Raw genomic sequence first — 22,522 nt, 5'->3', positions numbered from 1 at the left:
ATACAAAAATCATCTGGGCATGGTGGTGCGTGCCTGTAATCCCAGCTACTCAGGAGGCTGAGGCAGGAGAATCGCTTGAACCCGGGAGGCAGAGGTTGCATTGGGCCAAGATCACGCCACTGCACTCCAACCTGGGTGACAGAGCAAGACTCTGTATTGAAAAAAAAAAAAAAAAAAAGTTAGTTCTGCTCCGAAGGCCAGTATGTGAGATAGACCTGTTAATGTTAAAAACTAATTGTAAGCTGGGTGTGGTGGCATATATGTGAAATCCTACCTACTCGTTACACTGAGGCAGGAGGGTCGCTTGAACTCAGGAGTGTGAGACCAGCCTCAGCAACAAAGCGAGACCCTATCTATTTGTTAAAAAGCAATTATAATGAAGAGTTAGTATTTAATGTGTACAGAATTTCAGTTTGGGAAGATGAATGAAGTTCGGAAGACAGATGATGGTAATGGCTGATTAACAATGTGAATGTACTTTATGCCATTGAGTAGTACTTAAAGGGCACACTTAAAAATGATTAAAAAACTAATTATTTATCTTGTTTTATCACAGTAAACATAATTATAATACAGTATGACTAATGTGAATATAAAAGTAGGTACAAGGTTTAGTAATATTACCAAAGGGAGGAATTCATTGTAGGGGTATGAATAGGAAAAACAGATGGTGCTACAAAAGTGACTATAAAGAGCTCACCAGATGGACTTGGAGAAAGAAAATAGAAGCAGGTAGAGGTAGGATTGGGGAGGAGGTGACAGAGAGAGGCAGATCTGAGTGAGGGGTGGCTAGAGTTGGGCTTTGTCCTGCAGACAGCAGTGAGCCAACAGAATTTTTAGGAAGAGAAGAGATGTGATTGGATTTTCGGTTTTATAGACTAGTGGTATCTCAAAAAGTTAAAGGTAAGAAATGTATTAGATGGTCAAGGTACTGTGTTTAAGGATAGATTTAAAAGAATCTTCATGATCTTAAAAGAATCAAGGGGACAGTGTCAGAAAATACAGCATTGAGTAGACCACAGGTATTATTTAGTGTGGCATTTCTTATGTTCTTTTAGTAATGGCAAATATAAATTTTAAAAATCAAACAAAATATTGTAAATAAATATATACATAATGAAAATGTGTTGTAATTTTAGGCCTTTTTGAATGGCCCCACTTAGGCAGATTGGATTGTTAATGTTGATTACATGTTCCAGGCCATTGTCCTAAAAAAGTGAGCCCAGACAATTTAGACACAGAAAATACAATAAAGTCTTTATTTTTTTGCAGAGTATTATTGTTATTGCTTAAAATTGGAAAGCCAAAAAAAAGCACAATAAAGGGAAGTACAAGGGGTAATAAATAGATTACATCCTAACAATGTGTTCTCTTTTATCAGAAACCTGTACACTTTTAAAATTATGTAATTAAGCCAGACGAAATGGATTATTCAGAAGCACCTGTAAAAATTCAATTGACAGACTAATTTGCAGTGAATACACAGGCGTGCTTATTTTAAAAGCCTTTCCACATGATTACATTATACATAAAAAGAACTGGCAAGTGTAGTTGCAGGCTGAACTATATTTTTTATTGCCTTTACTCTGTGCATACTTATTCCAACCACTGAATTTACCAATTTTCAATTAGAATTTTCCAAGGAAATTAACAATTATTGTACCTCATCTACAATCAGCTTTATCTCTGAAGTCTATTTTCCTAAGGAAAAATTAAAGAACTTGCATGGGCGTATTAAGTAATATTCACATTTAGAAAAATATTGCATCAGGATGTTGAAAGGAGATAGAGGCAGCAACACACATTTTGGGGGCATTACAGGCCCATGGATCATAGCCATTGCATCATACACATTATTCCATGTAATCATCCCCCAAATCCTTTGAGTTAGGTTAACAACTAGTATTCTGTTAAATGCATGGAATTAAATGGAAAACTGGAAAAGGTGAATAGATACAGGCAAAGGTGGAAGCTATTCTAAAAGCAAAAGGCTGGAATGAAGGAAGGAGAGATATGAGACTCAAGCAAGTCAAGAGTCACTGAACCAAATTAGAGATAGAAGTAGTGAGATAGCAAGATATTGAGAGAGAGAGAGAGAGAGAGAGAGAGAGAGAGAGTTTTAAGCATAAAGATTGGAGGTGTTCAATGTTTCTTGAAGGCATGGAGGATTATGTCTGATATGAAATGATTTCACTTATACTTAAGAGGTCACTGGAAATGTTTACAGAGATAGTTGCAGTAAACTCTAATGAAAGTAGAATAGCTGCGATTAAAAGTATGTATGAGTTCAGATAAATGAAAGAAGGTAATACTCTTTTGAGAAATTCAGCAACGAAGGGAAGGAGAGGGTATATGCTGAATGATTCCAGACAGTATTGAGTGACAGCCTTGTTATAATGGGACAAAATTGAAAATGCTTATAGCCATTGAAAACAAAGCCACAAATGAAGGACATGAAATTATGGATGGCAGCACAGTGGAGGATAACTATAATTTTAAGATCAATGGCAAGTAATAGAACTCCTTCCTCTGAGAAATGGAGGAAGGAAAATAGAACATGTAGTGTAGTGATGAATGAAGATATTGATTTGGAGAGGATTTCTTTTTCATCAGGGGTTCTTCTCAAGGAGATGGGTTATCTGCTAAGGAAAGTGAGAACAGAGTTACTTTTTAGGAACTAAGGAGACTGTAAACGAGACAACATAGAACATAGCAAGGAACCAATAAGACTAAGCGAATAAATTTTAGTATGGGATGGTGGACCCAGATGAGGTTCTCATTAAGTTACCCCAGCAAATTAAATAAAAGCCAGTATTTCACAGCTCTTATCAACTGAAACAACATGGATTCTCCAATGGTATTTCCTTATTTAAATCTATAAAGTTATTTTATTCATCATAATTCAAAAGGAAGAGATACAAATATTGAGCTAAAGTTGTCTTTGATTGCTTTGGCCACTTAGAATAAAATCAGTGTTATAACTTTTCCCTAAAATTTGACACGGGTAAAAATTAGGGAACTTCTGAAATCCATGAGTAGTTCAGCTATATTTGAATAGTTTAAAAGAAACTTAAATAGCTGATAATTATGCAGAAAAACATGGAGAAAGTAGGAGATTTGCTGAACAATACTCTATTAAGGAATTTGCCTAGAGGGAAGTAATAGAAATACTCATCTGAAGTTATAGGATCGTTTATTTGAAAAATTAATCAAGTGACTAAGTCAGTTTTCTCTTCAAATTAAAACTGCCATATCTGTGAGTAGAAAGCTCCAGATGTAGAAAAAGAGACCACTGCAAAATCTCTTAAGTTAAATTATTTCAGAATCCTAAAAATAAGAATCATTTCTTTTGAGGGGCCTTTGCAAATTACTCACTTTTGTATTTTTAAATTCTATCTCTTCCTCAGTTCTGGGAGATGAAAGCAGATTTAATTTTGTATGTCTATCACTGCTTTATAAAAATGATTACTCTCATAATGACTTTCTAATTTTCCACATGTTTATGCATGCTACATATTCTAATTCCACTGATTAGCTTATTTTAAACATTAGGAATCATATTAGTAAATTCCATGACCAATTTTCAGTTAACATTCGAACAGAAAGTCAGATAAAAGAGATTTTTTGTTTGTTTGTTTTATTAACAATTGAAACAAGTCGCCATGACTAAACTTACCAGATGACAGTATGCGTTTAATGACAACAGTGTTTGCATAGGACAGTGACACCCTTGGAGCTCTGAACTTATATTCCTTAAAGATAATGCAAAACTGTCTGATGCTATGCTTTTAGCTTGCCTGCCAACAGTTGTGAGATTCCAAAAGACCCACTTATTGGGAACGTATTATTCCTGTTGGAAATGTATCATTTTTGGTTAGAAGATTGTATAGATTTTAATTTCCTAGAAAAGTTGAATAATGGTTGAACAATGGATTTTTTTTTAATTTTAGATTGGTAAACTAAAAGTTTCAGTATTGTTAAACCAGTAGTTATTTACAAAGACCTATGATTTCTTATTGTACCTCTTGATTATCCTTTATGATGATATTGTATTATAAAGATAAATGAATAAACTGTAAATTGTCCAAGTTATTATCATGAATAGAAAATGTATCTTTTGCTGTTGATGATTGTACTGTTATAATACAAAGAATCTTTCCCAGACAAAAAAAATCAAGGTGTTTTATAACAATACCTGTTAAAATCCAACAAAGAAGATAGGTAACAAAATTGCTGTTTGCTACTTCCACTAATTTTACTAGTTCCAAGTCTTGTGTGAAGCAATTATCTAAAATAGAAGTTAAAAGTGTCACCTACTGTGTATAAGACATTTGAAGTTTGTTTGCAAATCTTTCCAGACTCTCTCCTATTTTGATTAGAATATTTTCTTTGATGAGAGCATAAGGTTTTTTTTTATTTGTGGTAGCAGACATAGTTCTATTGTTGCATGTGGAGATTTTGAATGCTTTTTTTCTCTATTAATAGTAAGATCGTGTTTGATATTAATACTTTGATCATAAGCATCATAAATTGACCTATTTTATTTTACCCATATTTATTCTTATTGTTTTTAAGCTAACATTTTGAGAAAGATTACTTATTGCTTAGAAATTTAGATGAAATATTGAACTTTGGTGAGAGGCAAGATAAAAAGTTAAAGAATATTAACTTTAAGTCAGAAGATTCAAGATTGAATTATAGAGCTATCATTTACTAATTCCATAGCACCTGGCAATTAATTCAACTTCTCAGTGCCTCATTCTTTTTCATCCATGAAATAGAATGTATTAGTAAATTTTGGACGTATCTTTCAAAGAAGTCGTAATATTTGGATGAGACAATATACAGGGAAGCACTTTGTAAACTTGGCATACTGAAGTTGTATTGCTATTATTGGACTCAAAAGTAAACATTAGTTATTAGTTGAGCAAATGAAAATACTTTTCTGTTGATACTTTGAATGTGATAAAAAATGAAATGATAGTAGTACTCTGTACTTTATGTTATACCCACGACTACATCTCCTTTTTTTTGTATTTTGAAATCTTCTTCTTGTGAATAAACAAATACCTTATTTGTTCATAGAATAATTCTGTAGCACTATATGCATTTTATAAATGATATTGCATTTCACTTATTCACATGTTTGATAAAAATAATAGCATCTGCAATTTTAGAGGAGGTTACTGTGTGCTTGGTACTACAGTAAGGACTGTAACAATACCCCGAACCCACACACATTTTTTAGTTATCATAATTAATGTATGAGAAAAGGATAATTATTACTAGCATTTTGAAAGTTAAGAAATTGAGTCATATAGAACCTAAGTGAATTGTTCTGAGTGTTATCACTAGTCGACAGGAATCCAAATCCAAGATGTCTGACTTTCAATTTCGGTGTAGTTACTATGTCACCTGGCCTTTCTCCCAACAATATTTCCTCCTGTATAAAACTGGTATAGTTTCCTCATCTTTCAGTAATTTGAATCCATCATGATATCTTCATATCTAGTATATATACATGAATTATCTCAAAATTTATAACTCCATTACACTGAAAGAGACATAAAATGTGTAAATCAATAAAGCATGTATTCAATCAATTAATCAAATTAAACTACCTTTAAAAATGCCAAATACTTTGATAAAATTTAACATTTAACTATACATAAAAGATTAATTAAAGCATCCAGATATTTACAGTTTTTAAGATACATTTGATTATTATATCACAGTATAGACTTCAGTATAATAGTAATAAATAGCATGAGAACATTGCAGTGGCCACTATGTTTTAAATATAGAAAATGTGACACCTCAGGTCATATTAAACAAGATGAAAGGATTTCTGCAGTACCTATTTGTTCCCATGTCATTTTTAACAAGAAAGTGCAATAGCTCTCAAGTCTTGAAAACTGTGGAAGTTCCAAATAACTGAACTCTTGGAACACTAAATAAATAAATAAATAAATAAATAAGATGGATGAAAAAGATATACATTAATTGACTTAATTTTTTAATTGATAATTGACTGCTAATGATTTTACTTTTAAAAAACTTCCTAGCAAAAAACAAATATAACTTGATCAGTTGGTATTTACCATATACTATTACCTGAGTTTAGCCAAACTGCAACATCTGAGGGCACAGTCCTCCATAGGACCTCCCTCACTTCTGATACCAACTGCAAGTTCAGGAAATTCTCACATCCACCCTTAGGTTCAATAAATCACTAGAAAGCCTCACAGCACTCACTGAAATCTATTATATTATAGTTATGGTTTATTATAGGTAAAGGTTACAGATCAAAATCAGCCAAAGCAGGAGAAACAAAGTGCAGAGTCCAGGATGATTCCAAACACAGAGCTTCTGTTATCCTCAGGACGTATTACCCTTCTAGAATTGACACATGACAGAGTATTACCAACCAAGGAACGTCAATCAATCTTTGAAGTTTCAATCAAGGCTTCATTACATAAGCATGATCGATTAATTACCTGTTTGATTCATCACAGCTTTGAAGTTGGGAGAGAAAGCTCCCTAAATCATCTAGTTGGTCAAACTGGCATAACTGTCCCTCAAGCTGGATTATCAGGTGTAGTCAGCCTCACTTTAAAATAACACTTTTATTGGGTATGACAAGATTATCTCCTTAAGGCTGAGGGCAAAAGCCTGACCTCCTTTGGGTAAGGTCAAATTCTTTACCACACAACTATAAATCATCTTAATTTTTTTAATTGAATATTTTTACAAATAGTGCTGATAGATCTCTCATATTATGAATTAATAACATGTTGATAAAGCCAAAATGGTATTTTTCATGTAGAAAACAGTGTCATTGGGAGATAAGGAAGAAAATAACTTACAGTACAATCAGAAAATGTGTCGTGGAAGTTTTGTAAAGCCAGTGCAGAGAGAGAGAGAGTCTTTTAAAAGAAAATTACAAAACAATTAAATAATACTGTAGGGGCTGGGTGCAGTGGCTCACGCCCGTAATCCCAGCACTTTGGGAGCCCAAGTTGGGTGACCATGAGGTCAGGATTTCGAGACCTTTGAGACCATCCTGGCTAACATGGTGAAACCCCCTCTCTACTAAAAATAAGTAAATAAATACATAAAAATACAAAAATTTAGCCGGGCATGGTGGCACAGGCCTGTAGTCCCCGATACTCGGGAGGCTGAGGCAGGAGAATCGCTTGAACCTGGGAGGTGGAGGTTGCAGTGAGCCAAGATTGCGCCACTGCATTCCATCCTGGGTGACAGAGTGAGGCTTCATCTCAAAAAAGAATAAATAAAAAAATAAAATACTGTCACTAGCAAGTTTGGGAAAGGCAACTGGTGTTTTTGAGGCATAAGGCTGAGTCAAGTATATTTATGTAAGTGCTGTTTTATCGTTCTCAGAAAGCTCCAACCACTTACTTACCTTTCCCTACCTTCAAGTTGATGGATCCCCACATTACGAGGTTATTGCTGTTATTAACAGTGAAAATGTATTGAGATCTTGCGATTATCTAATCACCTTTAAAACAGGGAGTACTATCACCACTTTAAAGATGCAGAAAATATGGTTCTAATGCTTAAAGTAATTCACCTGAATTACATAGTTAGTAAATGCCTGAGCCATTTCCCTTTTCTTGGATGTATTCATTTCTTCTAATCTCTCCTTTTAAAATCTTTTCTCCAGGTTTTGGTTAATCAACACTTATTCCAAGAAGCATACATTTGTATCTATCCATGGAATTAGATGGATTTGCACCTGCACTGATATGTCTGTTGTATCCAGAACAAGTGGGCTGAGGGACATAAAAATACGCTGTATGGGTTAAAGTGCCTGTCACAGATGGCACTACTTCCAGCCAGCAGGTATTATAGGGAGCTAATAAACATATAAAGAAAACTTTTAAGGGCGAGATCAGGAAGTAGCACACATGACTCTTACTTACATGCCATTGAAGAAAACTTGGTCTCACATCACTCTAAGCTGTAAAAGAGACCAGGACATGCAATCTCTATTTTCATGGCCATATACAAAAGTTCTATTGCTAAAGAATGTGAGAATGAATATTAATGTACAAAAAGCAGACTCTAGAACACACAAAACATAAAGAATGTTTGGAATTTATTAATGAACTTAATAAAGTAATATAAAAATGTATATGTAAATATCAGTAGTATTCCCACACCAGCAATAAATAGAAAGCATTAGTGAAAAGCATATTTCGTTCAAATAACTATAAAGATAGATATATAGATGTATTTTATATGTAAACACTGAATTATGTTTAGAAATTTTTAGCTAAAGTAGCAAATCCCATTGTTTTAGGAAATACAAAATGTCCTAAATACATGGAAACAACAGTTTCATTTTTGTGTCTGGAGCTAGATATTGTAAAGATATCTATTTTTCCCAAGTTATTTTATAGGTGTAATTCAATCAAAATTCTAATATAATGGTTTTGAGATTTAAATAAAATAATTCTGAAATTTCCTTATTAAATATTAATGTAAAACATTTAATAATGTTATGAAAATTAAAAGATTGTTGAGTATGGGGTTTCCCTAGAATGCACAGATATTAAAATACATTTTAAAGTTTTTTACCACTTTGATTAAGTTTATTGCTAAGTATTTGATTCTTTTCATTGCTATTATTAAGGGGGTTGTTTTCTTAATTTCCTTTTTATATTGTTGTTTGTGTGTGGAAATGCAACTAATTTTTGAATGTTGATTTTGTATTCTGCAACTTTACTGTTTTGTTTATTAGTTAAAATAGATATTAGTTATAACAGTGAGCCTTTACAGTTTTTTATGTCTGTGGTCATGTCATTTGCATACAGATTATTTACTTCTTCCTTTCCAATTGTTTGCTTTTTATTTTCTTTCCCTGTCTAATTGCTATGGCTAGGACTTCAGTACTATGTCAAAAAGAAGTAGTAAAAGTGGGCATCCTTTTCTTGTGCTGGATCTTAGAAGGAAAGCTTTCAGTTTTTCTCCACGGATTAAGATGTTAGCTATGTACTTTTCCCGCATGATCTTTATTGTGCTGAGGTAATTTTCTTCTATACCAATTTTGTTGAGAATATTTTTCATAAATAGATGTTGAACTTTTTCATTTGCCTTTTCTGTATCTGTTGAGATAATTCTGTTTCTAAAAAATTTTGCTGATGTGTTGTATCATATTGATTGATTTGTGTATGTTAAACTATCCTTGCATTCCAGAGATAAATCTCTCTTGGTCATGATATGTGATCTATTTAATGTTCTGTTGCATTGGGTTTGCTAGTATTATATTGAGGATTTTTGCATGTTTGTTCATCAGAAATATTGGCCTGTAATTTTATTCTCTTGTAGTATCTCTGATTTTGGAATTAGGGGATCCTGACCTTTTAAGTGTTACTGCTTCTTCTATTTTTTGGAAGAGCTTAAGATGAGTTGGTATCAATTCCTCTTTCAGTGTTTGGTAGAATTCATCTGTGAAGGCATTGGTTCATGGACATATTTGGGTTGGTTTATTACTGATTCAATCCCCTTATTTGTTATTTTTCTGTTCGGATTATCTATTTCTTTTTGATTCAGTATTGGCAGATTGTATGTTTATTGGAATTTACCCATTCCTTCTTGGCTCTGCAGTTTGCTGGGTTATAATTGTTCATAGTAGTCTCTTATGATCCTTTATATTTTTTAGGCATTCGTTGTAATGTCTCCTCTTTCATGTCTGATTTTATTAAATTTATTAATTTTGGGAACCAGGGGCAGAAAGCTATGGCTTGAATACATCTCCCAAAAGTTCATAGGTTTGAAACTTAATCCCAGTGCAACAGTTTTGGGAGGTAGAGCCTAATGAGTGGTGATATGATTTGGCTGTGTCCCCACCCAAATCTCATCTTGAATTCCCACGTGTTGTGGGAGGGACCCAATGGGAGGTAATTTTATCATGGGGGTAGGTCTTTCCTGTGCTGTTCTTGTGATAGTGAATAAGTCTCATGAGATCTGAGGGTTATTATAAGAGCTCCTGTATGAGCTCTCTCTTTGCCTGCTGCCGTCCATGTAAGAAGTGACTTGTTTATCTTAAAGAGTAGCCCTTGACTCCCTTCCATCTGTAGTAATTTCTTTAGCAAATGGTTGCTTGGCCACATTTTTTCACATTTTACCTTCCCATGCTGTGAATTTTCCAAGGTTTTTCACTCTGCTTTCCTTTTAATTATAAATTCTGCCCTTAAGACAATCCTTTTCTGTCACACTTCACTGTAAACAGTTAAAAGTAGTCATGCAGCAGGGTGAATGCTTTGCTGCTTAGATATTTCTTTCACCAGATATCATAGTTCCTCACTCTTAAGTTCTTCATTCCATAAAGTCCAATAATATAGACACAATTCTACTAGTCTTTGCAGAGGTGTAACAGGATGGCATTTACTTTAGTTTCCAATACCTTGTTTCTCGTTTTCATCTGAGATCTCATGAAAATGACATATATATATATATATATACACACATATATATACACATATATATACACACATATATATACACATATATATACACACATATATATACACATATATATACACACACACACGTATATATATATGTATATATATATACCTGTTTATATAATCACCTTCTTGCCTCTAGAGACAGTTCTAGACTTAAAGTCTATTTTGTCTGATATAAGCATAGCCATTCCCAGCTTTCTTTTGATTACCGTTTGCATGGCATAACTTTTCATGATATAAGCATAACTACCCCTAGCTTTCTTTTGGTTACCATTTGCATAACATAACTTTCTTCAGCTCCTCATTTTCAAACTGTGTGTGTCTTTATATGTAAAATGAGTGTCTTATGAAAAATAAACCACTGGATCTTGTTATATTATTTTTTTCCTTTAAATCCATTCAGCCATGCTATGCCTTTTGATTGGTGATTTTAATTCATGTATATTTAAAGTAATTATTGACAGGTGAGGAATTACTAATTTCTTTTTGTTAATTGCTTTCTATACATTTTGCCATTGATTTTTCTCTCTCTGCTCTCTTACTGTCTTCTTTTTAATTAGATGGTTTTTTGTAGTTATTTGCTTTGATTTTTTTTCTTCTTGTATATTTTATGTATATTGTGGGAATTTTATTTGTGGTTAGCTCAAAGCTTTCATAAAATATCTTGTAGTTACAACAGTCTTTTTTAAGTTAATAGCAACTTAACTTCAATTGAATACAAAACCTCCACACTTTTACTCCCCTTTTTACTCTGCCCGATTTGTGTTCTTGTAGTTAGAGTTTCTTTTTATATTGTGTATCCATTAACAATTTTGTATCTCTAACCTTTATAGTAGGATTAAAAGTAATTTATACAATACAATTATAATGTTACTTTAACCTCCATTTCTCTGTATGTTTACCTTAACCAGTGAGATTTATACTCTTACATGCTTTCATGTTGCTACTCAGCATGTTTTTGTTAAAATTTGAAGAACTTCCTTGTGCATTTCTTTTAAGGCAGGTCTATAGTTGAAAAACTCCTTCAATTTTCATTTGTATTGGAAAGACTTTATCCCTTCTTCACTTTTAAAGAATAATTTTGTTGGATATATTGTTCTTGGTAGACAGTTATTTTCTTTCAGTACTTTGAATATATCATCCCACTGTCTCTTGGCCTGCAATGTTTCTGCTGAGAAATCTACTAATAGTCTTACAGGGATTCTCTTTCACATAATGAGTTGCTTTTTTCTTTTGGCTTTCTAATCTCTTTGTCCTTGACTTTTGATAATTTGATTATAATTTGTCTCGGTGCAGTGTTTTGGGGTTGATCTTATTTGGGAACTTTTGAGCTTCATGAATTTGCATGCCATTTCTCTCCTGAGATTTGGGGATTTTTCAGCTGTTATTTCTCTAAATATGCTTTCTATCAATTTCTTTCTTTCTTTTTCTCTTTTTGGGACTCCCATAATGCATAAACTGGCCCACTTGATGGTGTTCCATAGATATGATAGGCTTTCTTCCCTTTTTTTCATTTTTCTCTCCTATGACTGGTTAAGATCAAAAGACCTGTCCTTGAATTTTTAGATTCTTTCTTCTGTTTGATCAAGTCTGCTATTGAAGCACTCTATTGTAGTTTTCATTTTATTCTTCAGCTCCAGAACTTCTGTTAGACTCTTTTTTATGATTTTTACCTCTTTATTGAACTTTTATTTTTTTCATGTATTGTTCTGCTGATTATTTTCAAGTTGTGTATCTGTGTTTGCTTGTAGCTTGCTGAGCTTCTTTAAAATAATTATTTTGAATTCCCTGTCAGGCAACTTATTATTCTCCATTTCTTTGTGGTCAGTTACTAGAAAATTATTGTGTTCCTTTTGTGGCATTTTCTTGATTTTTCATATTCTCATAGACATGCATTGATGTCTGCACATTTGAAGGAGTTGTCACCTCTTTAAACTTTATGTACTGGCTTCAGTAAGGAAAGACCTCACCTATGGGAAGGTATGAAGCCACCAACTGGGTGGGTATGGTAGCTTCTTCTCTGAAGGACACAGTGGCTGTTCCAGCTCCAGGAGTGGGCAGCAGTTAGACTCCAGGTAGTTCCATCAGCTGAGGTCAGCACTGGTGAAGACTACAGCGTTTTTAGTAGACAAGGCTGAGAGTGTCTGCAAAGGCAGCAATGACTTGCAGGGTCCCCAGTCATGAAAGCTTTTGAAGTCCTCCTGCTTTCCTTTTCACCCACAGGAGAAGTTGTGGTAGAGGGGATTCTTCTTGGTGCCTGTGTCTGAACTGTGAACATACATCGAACAATGGTGGTACTAGGTCTGGAATGCAGGTTCATATGGCATGGCTATGGATTTGGATATGGATGCAAATGCACATGGCCAAACCACTTCATTTTTAAAGCTAATTTATATCCAGAAGTCATGTATATACTCTTTATTCCTTCTCAAACTTGAATATCCAACATAAATAAGGTGAAAAATGAGTTAAATATAAAAAGTGAAATTATAACTAGGGAATGAAATATTATTTGTATTGAAATAATACACTGACATCTTTCAAACAATACAAGGTATAGCAAAAGAAAAACTGGGATTCCATCTTAGAAAAGTTAAAATTTTTATTACAATAAAAAAACAGAAAAAAATGAATACCATGTAACATGATTAAATCAAAACGTGTATACAAGGGCAATATCATGAGACTTTATGTTTATTGTAAGAACATTCATTCAATAAATATTTATAAAAACAACAATAATAACACTTATGGATTCCCTACAACATGTGAGGTTCTCTTGTAAGTACTTTATATATTTTAACTGATTTTCTTTTTTTCATGAATAACATTTCAGACTGATGTTGCAAACATCATTACTTTATAGATAGGAAAATTGAGGCAGAGCGTAGTTGAGCAACTGGTTTAATTTCAGTGTTAGTAAGTGGTAGAACCAGAATTCTACCGCACAAATCATAATCTTAATCAGTACTTTATACTGTCTACTTGGTGGATACCAAGCAATGTTTTGGATGTCAAGGGCATATCAGTAACCAAAGAATAAACTGCTTTCCTTAAGGGTCTTATATTAGAAATATATAAGTTAAAACTATTTTTATATACTGATAAATTCGGTGAAATAAATTTCACCTCTATAGAAGGAGAATATTGAAAATGCAATTGACATTCAATTTTAAACTGTTTTTTTTCTGTGTTCTCTCAACTGTTTCCATTTTAATATTAACCAACATCATTATATTATCTGAATCTCTGCTATTTAGACATGAGTAGACAAAATAGCATGTGAAAAAACACATTATCACTATCAAATAATTTCATTTTCAGGGGTAATTTTTTCTTTGTACTTATGTGAAGGAAATTAGAAACAACGTATAAACCTAAAACTCAGGAATTTTAGTTATAGTTCTGACTTTAACTGTATCCATTTGAACAGTTTTTTTTTCCTTAAAGAGATAGACAAGAACCACTAGACCAGGTATCAGCAAACTTCGGTAAAAGTCCAACTAGTAAATATTTTTGGCTTTATGAGCCAGATGGTCTCTGTCACAACTTCTCTACCATTGTGGAGTGAAAACAATCATAGACAATGTGTAAACAAATGAGTTTGGCCATTTTCCAATTAAAATTTATTCATGGACACTGAAAGTGAATTTCTTATAATTTACACAATATTATTCTCTTTTAATGTTTTTCAACTATTCAAAAATGTCAAAACAATTTTTAGCTTGCAGGTCTGACAAAAACAGAAATAAGGAGCAATAAAAGTATGAAATATTTTATGGAAAGTGGATAGCTTTGAGTAGTTAGAAATTAGCGTTGGCAAGTAAGGAAAAGTGGTAAATAAAAAAACCTTTATTCTAAATAGAGTATTTACTTGGTTCCAGTAAATATATTCTACTCTGGAAATAGAAGGCTAAGGAAAGAGACAAACCTACTCCAAAGAGGAGCTATAACGCCCACCAAGTGAAACTTACTTTCTCCCTAAGTCATTCTGCTATTCACTAGCTTTGTAACCATAGGCAATTTCCTTTTTCTTTTTACCTTAATTGGCTGAACCATAATAATAACTTATAATGATGTTGTGAGTTTTAAATTAATTAATACATTCAAACAACGTAAAACTGTGGTTGGCATAAAGAGTCTTTCAGTAAATATTATGCTTATTATTGATTTTGGTAATGTCATTGTGGTCTTTTTAGATATGATACTATCCATCTCCTTTAAAGGTAATTGAACTGAGATTTAGGGAGGCAGAGTGTCCTGTCTACAGTGAGACTGACTAGATGGCAATTTGTTGGAGACAAATAGAATTATCACTATTCTCTGTAAATCTCATTTTCTTTATTCATAATAGTAAGGGTGTAAAGACCACTTAAGTTCTGCTTCCTTCTCATACTGACATTATTTTGATATGTGCACATTTAAAAATCACATAAAAATAAAATGGAAATGGGTACAGATAAATGTAACATGATAATTACCATTAGAACTGAAGTAAATGGATTACTTTAAAAGGAATTGGCCAGAACAATGGGTTTAGTATGCTTTTGTTATTTCTAAGAAAGGAACTAAATGAATAAATCCTTTTTATTGCCCTAGCTTGCTTTGTTATATGCAAGATTGATTAATGAATATTGTTTCTGCTTTCTATATTTTTTTCAAGCACTTTTCAAACACTTTGAAACGCTTTTCCCTAAAACTCTCTTCTTTGCCATAATAGAACTAAAATAATAGATCTAGGACACAGCCTATAATTTCGACACATTTGCCATGATTGGAGAAAAAACAAAAAAACACATGTATACTTACAGTGTTAACCATGCACGGCTGAAGAGGTCAAATTTCATGATGCTAGAGGAAGAATATAGAAATCAATAAGTCCATCTTCAGAGAGATTCATTTCAGTGTAACATTTTAAGAGACTCAAATTGATGGAATTATAGTGTGTTTGGATTATTAAAGCAGAATGTTAGTTCTAAAACATCCAAATATTCCCGAAAGCAAATGGAATACACTTGAATAAACAGAAGACAAAGACATGATTAGAATAGGGCAGATTTATCTTTTTAAATTTAATACTATTAACAGTGTTTGCTCAAAGTATTTTTATACTTCTTAGCATACATAAAGTAAATGAAATATAAACTTTTAGTCATATATTAACATTTCATTTTATTTAAAAATAAATATTTATTGAGACTTTTGAAAACAAATGCTCTCATTCACAGAGCATGTTTCCTGCTTTATAAAATGATCACGTACACACACATTGGATTATTTAGTTTGCATTCACTCTCTTCTCAGCCTAACTCAGTATCTTTAATTTTGCTTTTCCTTTTTATTGTAGTTGGGGAGATAATTAATTACTGCAGTCAGTTGTCATTTATGCCCTTAGCTGAAACTAAACCAAGTTAGCAGATTTTGATACCTCTGACTTTAGAGGGCAAAGAGCCCTGTGGGAGTGATTGTGAGGAACCAGTATGAATCAAGATAGCCTCCATTCTGTACAAAGAAGTACTTTATAATAATCAATACCTTCAGTAAGTTCTGTTTGCTGTTTTCACTGTGAGACACCTATTTCCCTTTTTGAATAGGATTTTTCTGTCTTGTTCAAGGAGGTGAGAAGTTATTAGCAATAGCATCTTCCTTGGTGATGGAGATTTTACCATATTTTCTTTATGAAATTCAAAACTTTTAACGCAATTACTGCCAATACTGTCAGCACTCAACACTGAATTATTGCAGTTTCTTTATCTTTGGTAGGGCACTTCTCAGTACTGTTTACCTTAATGAATACTCTCTACCCTTCCTTATTTATCTGCTTATATATATTCTAAATTGAGTCTTGCTTTCATGCAGTGATACATACAAGTGGTTAAGAATGTGTTTTCCTACCACTAACACTTTTGAAAAACTGTTTAGAAATTGGTGTTTGCTTTCATTCTCTGGATTAATTCTTTCACTTTCCTGTATTAACAGCTTCCTTGGCTATTTTTCTTACTATTCTTCCATATTATGCCACTCTTAGTTGCTAACCTAGTAAAATAACAGTCTTGCCTTAACAATGTCCACTAATTCTTCTGACCAATATAAATTGTTTTGTATATTCTGTAGCCTTTTACATGCCTCTAATGAAGATGCTAGTATTTTATTTTATTGTCATTTTAATTATTAGGGAACTACATAGATGGTTAAAATAAATGATGCATTATCAAGCATCAGAAAATGTATTGACTGAAATACTGATTAGACAAAAAGAAGAGAGATGTTAGTACAAAGTTGTAATTTTCATTAGAATTACATGTTAATAACAATGACAAAGTATAGCTATTGTCAAAATTACTATTGTTGAATATTATAATTCTAAGTTAAATGGATAGTGTAAACATCTCCTGCAAAAAAGCAAAACTTTCTACCTGAGAATATATTTGATTTTTTTTTTTTTGCTATTGGAATCATTCTGTTTTAAACTTAAAACTAAAAATAACAGTTTTGCATTCCAGTTACTGTTTTAGGAAGATTTCTTTTTTAAAAAACCCTTTAAATATTAATTTAAAGAGGATTTTTTAATCATTATAAACTAACTGAGTTTGAATTCCATGTGTATTTAGATACAAGAAAGACTAGTTTAGATGTAAAATTTGGAAATAGCCAAATTTATGTACTTTTTATATGATGTATTTTCAATTAAAAGGTCACCAGAAACTTACTGGTAATGTGCATTTAAATTTTAGCACTTAGGTAATTTATCTGTATAGGAATTGGGAGTACTAGTCAGCCAAATTTGGGGTGGGAAGTTTAAAATAAATAAATGTAGAATATTCTTATTCATCCAATAAATATTAGTTGACTGAGTGGAAGTATTTTATGTAGTAAAAATTCTTACAAACATATATATATATATATATATATATATATATATATATATATATATATATTTTTTTTTTTTTTTTTTTTTTTTTTTTTTTTTTACCTGAACCAAGATAAATTCTCACAATGCAAACCTCTCATTCTTACCTCAAAGCAATTTGATTATTCACTGGAACAGTTTGGTGTCACAAGCTTTCAAAATCTGCCCATGGTTAATGAAAGCCATTTAAATTGAATGTTACATGTAAGCTGATCAAACTGCACAGACTACATGAAGTTGCTCTCCATTGGTTTTAACGTGCTTCAGTGATGCTTATAAATCTTATTTCCAAATGCAGAGCTAGAAAAGGAAATAGTTACTGGCTTGGGTTTCTTAATTCTATTTAAATAAGTGTTTCAACCTTTATGGTTTCCCAATTAATAAATAGCGATACAAATGCAAACTATTGTGACTGAAAGTTGCTTAAGTTTAAATTGTAAATCCCTACTGTTTTACTAGTTTTTTCTTGTTGTTTGTGTGTGTGTTTCAACTTCATTATAATCTAAGCATGGAATTCAGCTAGAAGTAGAATAAGTATCTGTGTAGAAGCAAATTATGTGTTGGTGTAGTGAGACTTCAATAAGTGTCACCCTGGGAATTGTTAATTGAATTTGGGATAAAAATAGATGAAAAGAATCTTTGTTAATTAGATGTGGGCACTATCTGGAAGTTGTTAAATAAGTAGAGACAAATATTAATTTAAAAACATGAGAATGAAAATCCCTGTAGAAATAGCATGAAAGATTTTATGTAGATGTAGTTTATTTTAAAAAGTAGTTAATTTTTTTTCAGGGTAAGTTTAAGTGCTTATGCTGTATACGAGTTATAAATGAAAATAATCAGTAAGGTAAAAACCATGACTTTTTTTATTTTGGGGAATATATGAAGACACCTTTTAAATGTTTTTGAAGACATCTTCTAAATTGTTTGCCAACGCAGGTCAGGAAAAGCCCCCTGCAATCAGACCACAAACTTGTAGTCCTGACCTTGATAAATATTTAAATTGTGTATGCAATGAATCATTTCACTGATTACCAAAAGGCATTACAGCATAATATTTTTAAAATGTTTTGAAGGAATCAGACCTGAATCAGAAATATCTCTGTTGTGTCTTTTTCTGTATGACTTCAAGTATATTACATATTTCCTCTGTGTTAGTTGCCTCATTTGTAAAATGAAAATAAAAATACCAAATTTACAAGGTTACTGGAAAGATTAAATGAGGTAATGTATGTAAATTGTTTTATTTCATATGGGGCATGTAATAAATGTTCAAGACATAGCTATTATTACAGCTAGAAGTTCTTAATTAGAAATTTAATTTCTCAACTCCCATTTCTTCATGTATATTAATATTTCAGAAAGACAAAGGAAAATGAAGTGAATACTAAATCAATTTACATTGCTTTTCCTTTTTTATTGGAAAATTCTATTGGCAGAAATTAGTTTCTTAGACACTCTTAGAATTCCATTTTTCTGTCCACAAACAACGATTCATTCTAAATCTAAAGCAAATACACAATGTGCTTCAATGCATGTGAATCATATTACCTAAGCTGCAGTATACTTGAGAATACATTTTAATGTTATATTTTAAGATGCAATGAAATTGCCTATTACTTTGAGTTTACAAAACAACTCTTGATGACTTTCATTAAACTGTCCTTCCATGATCCTGCTGCTAGCCTCCTTTACAGTTGCTTATGCCTTCTACTTTATCTGCCTCCTCACGCTAGAGCAGTGACTTTCCTACAAAGCCATTGCAGTATTTCCCATTCTTTTATTTCTTTATTTCCCCAGTGAGCTCTACCCAGAATCCTTTTTAACCTTGAAGCCTATAATATGAACATTTGAAAGACCTTCAAGTTCTTATATTCCTCTATATGGATAACTAATTTTCTTCTCCATGTATACATCCTGTGAACATTTCTGTCCAATTTTTCCAACTCCTCATATGCTTTTTTTTCATTCATGTAGCCTGTCATCATTTTTTTTGACATTCTACAAATATTTCTAGAGTGCCTCCTGTTTGTCAGTCAGTGTCCTAAGAACTGAGAATAAGTAATGAATCAGAAACAGTTTCTAGTCTCAAGGCACTGTGTCAAAATGGTTGGTGAGAAAACTAACATCCAGTTGTGATAATCACTTGCATGACATGAGTTACTGGAGATTACTAAGGCATTCTGTAACTCCTTGGGAAGATATTGTCCCCGAATTCATCTGAAAGACTTAAAAGCTAAGTGACTAAGAGGCAGTTAAAGAGGAACAAAGGTTACCCAGGTGAATATAAAAACTCACAGCCAAGACGGCACTTTTTATATGTGTGATCGAAGCCTTTCAGTAAGCTAGAGCACGCAATATGAATAGAAAGATAAAATTGAAGAGGCAAGTGGAAGTCAATTCATTATTGTCATTGTCATTACATAGCAAGTGTTTAATGTACATCAAATTTGACTAAGTATTTTACAAACAAATACAATATAAAGTAGATATTATTTGCCCTCCATTTGATATAACAAGAACCTGAACTTGAGGTTAAATAGCTTGTACAAGATCGTACAACCAGCAACAACTACATGGGCCAGGATTCATCCTCAGCCTTTCAAGCATATTTAAGGAATGTTTCACTTCCAGGAATCACCTTTCAAACTACTTGTACCTGATTATTATTAGGTTGGTGCAAAAGCAATTGTGGTTGTTGCCATTAAATATAATAGTCTCAGGGTCTTTTACCAAGAAATCTCAAACCTGGAAAGAAAAGATAATGTAGATGCAAAGTTTATGAAAAGAAGCAAATTTATATAATGTACTTAGCACAGTTTCTGGCACATTATAAGAGCTAAATAAATAATTGCTATTTTGTTATTGTAGTCCTACTGCTTCCTTTTTTTTTTTTTTTTTTTGCCTCCTTAACTAGAATGTAATCTACACAAGAGAAGGAAACTGTCTGCATTTTTCCCAGTATTTTGTGATACTTAGAACAGTGATCAAATGAATATTTGTTGAATAAATGTATTAATATTTATTAAACCCTCAAGAAATCCTAAAATTTTAGCATAAAAAGATATTTAATGGTCTTTGTTATTTTTGCCCAAATCATTTTTTTCATGATAATATGTTTCCTTAAGTCTCCAAGGCATCAACTTGCACTGATGTTTTACCTCTCTTTTAGGGAGGACATTTTACATCATTGAAAGAACTCCCTGAAATATTGTTATAAATCTCAATATTTGTTTTCAATAGTTATTTACATTTTCTAGAAAGTTATTCTCCCAGATATCCACATTGCTGTTCCCTCTTGTCCTCAAGCCCATACTCAGAAATCACCTAATTTGTAATCAAATTATACCTCACAGCATTCCTCACTTGGTTTGATTTTCTCTTTTCTGTTAACACCATTTAAAAATATGCTCTACTTATGTTTGTTTATAACTTATTTTCCCCAATGAGAGTACAATTTCCATTAGGAAGGATTTCTGCCTTTTCCTCCCATTGTGTTTCCCTAACGCCTGGTATGTCATCAGTGCTGAATGAATATTTTTGAGATAAATGAATCTCTCCAGGATATCAAAGAAAAACAGTTGTTCACAGGCAAGGAGCTAGAAGAGAGTCTGTTGCAAGACATAGTAGTGTTCAAGCTGGTAGAAAAGAAAAATGAAGGCTAAAGAATTTTGCAGACTGGAGGCCCAGCCGCCAAGACTACCAGTTGTCTATTGTGTAGGGTCAGAGCTTGTCAGAGCCAAAATCAACCTGACAGAGGCAAGGATATGAATGAAACCTAGAAGATTGGCTTGAAAATATAACGTGTTTGAGAGTGCCTAGAAGGAATGGATCAGGCTGTTATAAGCTTATGAGCAACCAGAAAACACAAATAAGGATCAAGACAAAGCAATAAGCCAGAGAGAAAAAGCACACAGATGCCTGAGATTTAGTTGAAGCACTTTAGCTTTGCTAGTCCCATCATTCCTCCAACTTTTTCCAGGTACTTTTTGCCACAGGAATATTAAACAACTTACAGTGCGAGGAACACAAAGTTGTAGAAACACAAAATGCCTGTGATCTTCTACACACCTAAAAAAGTCTTCTACCATGTCTGTCTGGTAAATTCTTAGCCATTCTCCAAAATCCTCACTTAGGTATTGCATACTCTGTATTGTCTTCCATGTTTCCTGCTGCATTTGCAAGTCACTTTTAGTTGCAAGTGACAGAAAACCATTTCAAATGAGTTGGGGCACAAAAGGGGAAATTTGGGGCTTGGATCATATTACTAAAATGCCAAGGGTAGGAATGATTTAAGGATGCCTAGAATCAGGACCAGAAGCAATTTGTTAGGGCCTCATCTCTTCCATGTGTTTTCTGCATGAATAGGAATTAATGGCAAAGAGTACCCCTTTCATATTCTACCAGCTTACCTTCCTTAGTAGATAGAGAGAATCGTTTCCCATAGCTCAGCCAGAAACATGTAAAGTAATAATATTCTGATTTCCCTGGCTTGGGTCATGTGCCCACCCATTTGCCATGGGCTCTTGGTTCCTTCATTGACAGTCTCTGTGGGATTAGAATAAGAAAGGAAAAGTCTCCAGTGAAAATATAAGATGTTATTATCAAAGAAATGTGAAGGGATACCTGAAAGCAAATGTCAACAGACACTTGATAAATGATGATTGAACATTAAAAACAGTTGTGAAATATTTATCTTGAACAGAGTTCCATGAGCCTTCAGTGGGTTGCTAACTCACTGAAAATATATGCAAAACTTTGCCTCCATATGAATCTGTCCAGGGAGACGTCCAATCTTAATGACATACAAAGGATTCCAGCAAGGGTATCAGCCCTTGGAAATAAAATGATTATGCTTCCTATCCCAGCCCGCTATTAACTTCTGATTTAGTAGACCCCAAATTTAAAAGGGGAGCCATTTGAGCCAATGTTACAAATTAGGAAGTATAAGGATACGGAGTTAAGTTTTATTTGACTCTTACTTCTTAGTCCATTTGTGCTGCTGTGACAAAATGTCTGAGACTGCATAATTTATAAACAATAGAAGTATATGTATCACAGTTGTGGAGACAGGAAAGTCCAACATCAAGGCATCAGCAGATTTGGAAGGACTGCCTTC

General features: G+C 32.8%; 1 protein-coding gene and 1 long non-coding RNA gene across 51 annotated transcripts in view; one reads left to right on the top strand and one right to left on the bottom strand.

Moving 5' to 3' along the window:
* The window catches only part of PPFIA2-AS2 (PPFIA2 antisense RNA 2), a 141,042-nt gene extending 125,505 nt beyond the window's left edge, over nt 1-15,537 (bottom strand). For 2 of the 3 annotated variants that reach the window (NR_199032.1, NR_199034.1), the window contains exon 1: nt 15,303-15,537. This is a non-coding gene — a long non-coding RNA (PPFIA2 antisense RNA 2). Of the gene's footprint in view, nt 1-7,943; nt 7,982-15,302 lie in introns of all 3 variants that reach the window. The other variant, NR_199033.1, reaches the window with a different exon arrangement.
* PPFIA2 (PPFI scaffold protein A2) overlaps nt 1-22,522 on the top strand; it is a 501,376-nt gene that overhangs the window by 326,709 nt on the left and 152,145 nt on the right. The window lies entirely within an intron of this gene.

Source organism: Homo sapiens, chromosome 12 (assembly GCF_000001405.40).
Source record: "Homo sapiens chromosome 12, GRCh38.p14 Primary Assembly".
Classification (NCBI taxonomy): Eukaryota; Metazoa; Chordata; class Mammalia; order Primates; family Hominidae; genus Homo; species Homo sapiens.
Note: the sequence above shows the minus strand (reverse complement) of the source record. Positions and strands in the feature narration are given on the sequence as shown.